The sequence below is a fragment of the Homo sapiens genome, chromosome 4 (genome assembly GCF_000001405.40).
Source record: "Homo sapiens chromosome 4, GRCh38.p14 Primary Assembly".
Taxonomy (NCBI): Eukaryota; Metazoa; Chordata; class Mammalia; order Primates; family Hominidae; genus Homo; species Homo sapiens.
In genome coordinates, this window is record NC_000004.12 from 57,217,958 (window position 1) to 57,225,634 (window position 7,677).

Consider the following 7,677-nt stretch of genomic DNA (forward strand, 5'->3'; position numbering starts at 1 on the left):
AAGTCAGGAGACTCTTTTTCTGAGAATATTTAAACATTTTGCCACATTCATCTGTCTTTTTCTCACACTATCCCAGAATAACTGAAGATATGTAATACAGGGAAACCTTATTAAAAAAAAAACTTCTACCTAAAGAAATCTGAATTTATATAACAGAAAAATTGTGGAGAGATTATTTATATTAAAAAAGATTTTCTTTTTTTTTTCACAAAAGTGTTCACGTTAGGCTTTCTTTAAATAGCAAAGTCCCTTACTGGATTAAAATATGACTGAATTTCTCTTTCAGAAATGCATCTACTGTTTAAAACAAGCCATGTTTTATGTCATCCAATTTTATAACTGAAGAACTGAGAATAATTCAGAAAAAAGTCACAGAAACTTTGTGTGGATCTAGGAAGATAATTCAGGGCTAACGATCACTCCTATACTCTCCTAGAAAGAGAGTAGCTTCCATGGAAATGAACTGAGACCCTTCCTTCCTAGAACCTGGAAGATTCCTGCATTAAGTCACGTCATAGTCATAAGGTCATTCAACTATTGATGACATTTTCTAACTACGTGTGGATAAGCTTTTATGTTGATGGTTCAGATTTTCTGCTTTGGAAAAAAGGAATTTTAGTGTATTTGACTTCTAACAATAAAATATATGCAAAGAAAAGTCTGTCATTAGATTCCCTAGTTTGTAATTTAGGGGAAGATATTTCACTTCAACCTTTCTGGGCCTTAGTTTCTTCACTTATAAAATGAAGGTTTTGAACTAGATAATCTCTGAGTCCTTTTATAGCTCCCAAACTTGCTTCTTAGTTGTTTCTTTTATTTTTAAATAAGAGTAACACAAATCCTGTAATTCTGAGAGTCTAGATCACAGACTGATCTCATCTATGCTTTATCTTTTCATTTTATAAATGCTCTTGGTGTTTGTAAAGCTTATGTCCAGACTTGAAGCCAGTTAGAGGCCTAAAGAACAGTGCAAAAGAATGTTAGATATACCTGGATACTCTTCCTCTTCTTTTTAAAAAAATTTAATGAGGAACAAAATCTTAGATTGTTACACAGCAGAGGTGCAATAAAGAATAAAAATGCAAGGGAGGAAAAGTCACAAAGCCAATGAACAAAAATTCCCCTGTGGTGAGGGTCTTAAAGCAGGTGTAGTGGTTTATCATTTTACTGAATGAGCTCTGGGTCTGGTGGGTTAAAACAAGATCCTCTGGTTAAGTGGGACAATGAAACATAGATGGGGAAGCAATAGCCCTGCTAAAGACTGAATATTTATATCCCCTCAAGTTCATATGTTAAAATCTAATCTCCAATGTGGTGGTATTTGGAGGTAGGGCCTTTGGGAGTGATTAGGTCATGAGGATGGAGCCCTCATGAATGAGATTAGTGCCCTACCAACCAGGGAGCTCACCTAAACATCTGTGTCCAGAGCTTTTATTGGGGCTTCATTATATAGGCATGATTGATTGAAGTATTGGCCAAAATATTGAATACAATCTCCAGCCCTCCTCCTTATAGGTCAGGCTAATATCACATGGCTCAAAGCCTCAATTCTCTAATCACATGATTGGTCTTTCTGGCATGACCAGCCTCCATCCTGAGTAATCTCTTTGGCTTAAGCTATTATAGGCGTCAGAAGTCACCTCATTAGCATAAACCTTCAGGGCCCACCATGAATAACAAAGACACTCATGTCACTCTGGAAATTCTAAGGATTTAGAGGATTCCTTCTAGGAACCAGGGAATAGAACCAACCAAACTCTTTATTATGTAACATATTGCTTTTGGCTTTTGTCTGTTCTGTAGCTTTTGTAAGGAATATGACTAGCAAGTTGTTAAATCTCTCTCTTTCTCTGACGAGACTTCAAGACTGAATTGAAGTCATTAATTGGTTTAGAGTCAGAGTAGCAGAATGGTTAACAGTGTGGGTTTGGAGATCAGGCTGCTTGGGTTAATCTTGGTTTCACATCTTACTAGCTTGGTGGTCCTGGACAAGTTTCTTAACCTCTCTAAGCCTCAGTTTCCTCTTCAGTAAAATGATAGGTTATCATGATGAATTAAGCTAATGTCTGTAATGTGCTTAGCATGGTGCTGGGCACACAGAAGCAGTCAAGGTTTGCTACTAACGATTGCGTTAGGATTTTAGAAAAGCTGTTGACTATTTCTAAATGTTTACTTTCTAAAGGTGGCATGCCCTAAATATATTCAGGCCAGTGGTTGTATCAGATTTTTAGTTTTTAGGCACTGATTCTTTGTTAAAGGAAATCTTTCACAAAATCCGAATCTAGAAAGCCGATGAAATCTATATTAAGCTGAACTCCTCTAGTCAAAGAGGGTCAGGCACATCTAGCCACCTTTTAATCTCTGGGGAATTAAGATCTGTTTGAGGAAGTTAGTTTGAAAACTGGTCTAGACCACAACCAGTCACCTCACCTTCAACCTCCCCTCCACCAGCTCCCATAGCAGGGTTAACAGAGCAAATCTGTGTGTGTCAAAGTCAGGCTATAATTTTCTTATTTCAGTTTCTCCATGAGCAAAATGGGGAAGATAATGCCAGCTTTGTTGTGGCAGTGAATTAGATAATGTCTGTAAACTATTTTGAGTCTTTAGAGATCAGTTTTAGGGACAAAGACCTTTGCCATCTTTAATTTTTAGCTTACTTTAAAAATAAGATATCCTAAACACACCACTTAAAAATGGGTCAAACAGTCGTTTTGTCTATTCTTGGGATAAGGTGGAAGCAATGATTTAATCACCACAGAAGAAATGTGCTCTGATTAATTGGGAAGAAAGATTTTAAAATTAGAGTTATTCAGAAAGCCTGTCAGGAGACCAGGAAGAGAGGAAAGGATGTGTGTCAACACCTACAGAAAGCTGTCTGTGAAGCTGGGTTATAACCTGATACTTCTGGTCTTCCCTGTAACTAAATGTCCTTTGCTGAGGCCTGAGGCAGACCCTTACTCTGGGTTTCCTGTTCCTGTATGACTAGTTTCAGTCAGGCTTTACGTAGTCATTCTGCCCTGCAGAGCAATCACAGGAGGTAAGAAGGCATGGTCGTTAATAGCATGGGCTATGCTGTTGGACTTGAATTTGGTCTTGTTTCTATCACATTCTGTAATTTAGTTGAAAAATGGAAATAACACCTATCTCAAGGGTTTGTTGCAAAGACTACATGAGATTATACATGCACAGCGCTTAGTACAGTGTCTGATACATAGTAAATGTTCTTTTTTTTTTTTTTTTTTTTTTTTTTATTATACTCTAAGTTTTAGGGTACATGTGCACATTGTGCAGGTTAGTTACATATGTATACATGTGCCATGCTGGTGCGCTGCACCCACTAATGTGTCATCTAGCATTAGGTATATCTCCCAATGCTATCCCTCCCCCCTCCCCCGACCCCACCTCAGTCCCCAGAGTGTGATATTCCCCTTCCTGTGTCCATGTGATCTCATTGTTCAATTCCCACCTATGAGTGAGAATATGCGGTGTTTGGTTTTTTGTTCTTGCGATAGTTTACTGAGAATGATGGTTTCCAATTTCATCCATGTCCCTACAAAGGATATGAACTCATCATTTTTTATGGCTGCATAGTATTCCATGGTGTATATGTGAGTAAATGTTCTTTAGCAGCTGTCATTATCATTTTAGAGACAGAGTCTTGCTGGCATTATCTTCCCCATTTTGCTCATGGAGAAACTGAAATAAGAAAATTATAGTCTGACTTTGACAAGCACAGATTTGCTCTGTTAACCCTGCTATGGGAGCTGGTGGAGGGAAGGTTGGAGGTGAGGTGATTGGCTGTGGTCTAGACCAGTTTTCAAACTAACTTCCTCAAACAGATCTTAATAGGTGGCTAGATGTGCCTGACCTTCTTTGACTGCAATCCAGGCTGGAGTGCAGTGGCGTGATCATAACTCACTGCAGCATCCAACTCCTGGGCTCAAGGGATCCTCCCACTACTGCCTCCCAAGTAGCTGGGAGTACAGGCATGCACCACTATACCTGACTTATCTTTTAAAACACTTTTTTTTTTTTTTTTTTTTTTGTAGAGACAGGGTCTCACTTTATTTCCTAGGCTGGTCTTGAACTCTTGGCCGCAAGAAATCCTCCCACCTAGGCCTCCCAATGTGCTGGGATTGCAGGCATGAGCCACCGTGCCTAGCCCCATCAGCAGTTATTTAAAACATCATTGGTATTTATTATCATTATTAATTATGTTTGCTATCATGGATACTAAATATCTGCCCATCTAGATCTATTACCCTGATCTAAAATTCTAAGTTCTAACATTACCAAAAAGAACTTGAGAAGAAATGCCTTTCCATAGCCAGAAAACTTGAAGCTGAAGGGATTTTGATTTGCTCAAAGGTATTCTGTGAGTCCTTTTTATCTGTCTTCATGATCTGGACCCTATAGCTATAAGCTTTCATGTGGGGAATAGTGCTTCAAAATGAAGTGACCATTTACAATATGAGTCCCCAGTGCAATATCCCTCCTTGGGTAATATTAGGTACTATCTTGGCTCATTTCATCAATATCTTTTTTGACTAGTCTTTTACTGATTGCCCCAAGTTGTTAACTTCAGATGATACAATTAAAACACAAAGAAAACTGGTTGCAAAGAAAAACTGCAAAATTGTTTTAAATGTTTTTCTTTTTTTAATTTTAAGAGCTTTAGGGGTACAGGTGTTTTTTGGTTACATGGTTGAATTGTATAGTGGTGAAGTCTGGGATTTTAATGTACCTGACACCTGAGTGGTATACATGGTACCCAAAAGGTAGTTTTTCGTTCCTTACCTCCCTCCGAACGTCCTCCTTTATGAGTTTTCAAAGTCCATTATACCACTGTGTATGCCTTTGCATACTCATAGCTTAGCTCCACTTATGAGAACATGCAGCATTTGATTTTCCATTTGAGTACATCACTTAGGAAAATGGTCCCCAGTTCCATTCAAGTTGCTACAAAGGACATAGCATAAAAAACATCCTTTTTGGCGATTGAGTAGTATCACATGATGTGTATGTACACCGCATTTTCTTGATCTACTTGTTGGGCTCTTAAGTTGATTCCATATCTTTGCAATTGTGAATTGTATTATCATAAACACACATGTGCAGGCAACTTTTTGATATAACGGCTTTTGTTTTCTTTGGGTAGATACTCAGAAGTGGGATTGCTGGATCAAATGGTAGTTCCTTTAGTTCTTTAAAAAATCTCTATACTGCTTTCCATAGAGGTTGTACTAGTTTACATTCCCACCAACAGTGTATAAGCATTCCCTTTTTACTACATCTATCTGGGCCAACATCTATCATTTCTTGACTTTTTAATAATGGCCATTTTGGCTGGGGTAAGGTGGTATCTCATTGTGGTTTTAATTTACATTTCTCTGATGATTAGTGATGTTGAACATTTTTTTCATGTATTTTTGGCCATTTGTATATTTTCTTTTGAGAAATGTCTATTCATATCACTTGCCCACTTTTAAATTTAATCGTTTTTCTTTTTTTGCTGATTTATTTGAGTTCCTTGTAGATTTTGGATATCAGTCCTTTGTTTGATGTAAAGATTTTCCCCCAGCCCATAGATTTTGTCTGTTTACTCTGATGATTATTTCTTTTGCTGTTCAGAAGCTTTTTAGTGCAATTAAGTCCCATATATTTATTTATTTAACATTTTGCTTCATTTGCTTTTGGGGTCCTAGTCATAATTTTTTTTGCCTAAGCCAATGTCCAGAAGAGTTTTTCCCAGATTTTGGTCTAGAATTTTGATGGTTTCAGTTCTTAGATTTAAATCTTTAATCCAGTCCCCTCTCCCCTCTCCCCTCTCCCCTCTCCCCTCTCCCCACGGTCTCCCTCTCCCTCTCTTTCCACAGTCTCCCTCTGATGCCGAGCCAAAGCTGGACTGTACTGCTGCCATCTGGGCTCATTGCAACCTCCCTGCCTGATTCTCCTGCCTCAGCCTGCCGAGTGCCTGCGATTGCAGGCACGTGCCGCCACGCCTGACTGGTTTTCGTATTTTTTTGGTGGAGACGGGGTTTCGCTGTGTTGGCCAGGCTGGTCTCCAGCTCCTAACCGCTAGTGATCCGCCAGCCTCGGCCTCCCGAGGTGCCGGGATTGCAGACGGAGTCTCGTTCACTCAGTGCTCAATGGTGCCCAGGCTGGAGTGCAGTGGTGTGATCTCGGCTCGCTACAATCACCTCCCAGCCGCCTGCCTTGGCCTCCCAAAGAGCCGAGATTGCAGCCTCTGCCCGGCAGTCACCCCGTCTGGGAAGTGAGGAGCGTCTCTGCCCGGCCGCCCATCGTCTGGGATGTGGGGAGCGCCTCTGCCCCGCCGCCCCGTCTGGGATGTGAGGAGCGCCTCTGCCCGGCCGCGACCCCGTCTGGGAGGTGAGGAGCGTCTCTGCCCGGCCGCCCCGTCTGAGAAGTGAGGAGACCCTCTGCCTGGCATCCGCCCCGTCTGAGAAGTGAGGAGCCCCTCCGTCCGGCAGCCACCCCGTCTGGGAAGTGAGGAGCGTCTCCGCCCGGCAGCCACCCCGTCCGGGAGGGAGGTGGGGGTCAGCCCCCGCCAGGCCAGCTGCCCCGTCAGGGAGGGAAGTGGGGGGGGTCAGCCCCCCGCCCGGCCAGCTGCCCCGTCCGGGAGGTGAGGGGCGCCTCTGCCCAGCCGCCCCTACTGGGAAGTGAGGAGCCCCTCTGCCCGGCCATGACCCCGTCTGGGAGGTGTACCCAACAGCTCATTGAGAACGGGCCATGATGACAATGGCGGTTTTGTGGAATAGAAAGGCGGGAAAGGTGGGGAAAAGATTGAGAAATCGGATGGTTGCCGTGTCTGTGTAGAGAAGTAGACATGGGAGACTTTTCATTTTGTTCTGTACTAAGAAAAATTCTTCTGCCTTGGGATCCTGTTGATCTGTGACCTTACCCCCAACCCTGTGCTCTCTGAAACATGTGCTGTGTCCACTCAGGGTTAAATGGATTAAGGGCGGTGCAAGATGTGCTTTGTTAAACAGATGCTTGAAGGCAGCATGCTCGTTAAGAGTCATCACCACTCCCTAATCTCAAGTACCCAGGGACACAAACACTGCGGAAGGCCGCAGGGTCCTCTGCCTAGGAAAACCAGAGACCTTTGTTCACTTGTTTATCTGCTGACATTCCCTCCACTATTGTCCTGTGACCCTGCCAAATCTCCCTCTGCGAGAAACACCCAAGAATGATCAATAAAAAAATAAATTAAAAAAAAATCTTTAATCCATCTTGAGTTCATTTTTTTATATGGTGAGTGATAGGGATCCAGTTTCATTCTTCTAGATGTGGCTTGCCAATTTTTTAGCACTGATTATTGAGTAGGGTGTCCTTCCCCCAGTTTATGTTTGTGTATGCTTTGTCAAAGGGAGGCCGAGGCGGGTGGATCATGAGGTCAGGAGATCAAGACCATCCTGGCTAACAAGGTGAAACCCCGTCTCTACTAAAAATACAAAAAATTAGCCGGGCGCGGTGGCGGGCGCCTGTAGTCCCAGCTACTCGGGAGGCTGAGGCAGGAGAATGGCGTGAACCCGGGAAGCGGAGCTTGCAGTGAGCCGAGATTGTGCCACTGCAGTCCGCAGTCCGGCCTGGGCGACAGAGCGAGACTCCGTCTCAAAAAAAAAAAAAAAAAAAGGTCAGTTGGTTGTAAGTATT

General features: G+C 42.4%; 1 annotated feature.

The window, feature by feature from the left end:
* Positions 6,553 to 7,287: an enhancer, noted in NCBI's record as "NANOG-H3K27ac hESC enhancer chr4:58090676-58091410 (GRCh37/hg19 assembly coordinates)". NCBI's record gives its function as "activates a minimal SCP1, AML or CMV promoter by ChIP-STARR-seq in naive and primed H9 embryonic stem cells {active_cell/tissue: H9 hESC(naive and primed)}" and the evidence as "EXISTENCE:reporter gene assay evidence [ECO:0000049][PMID:30033119]".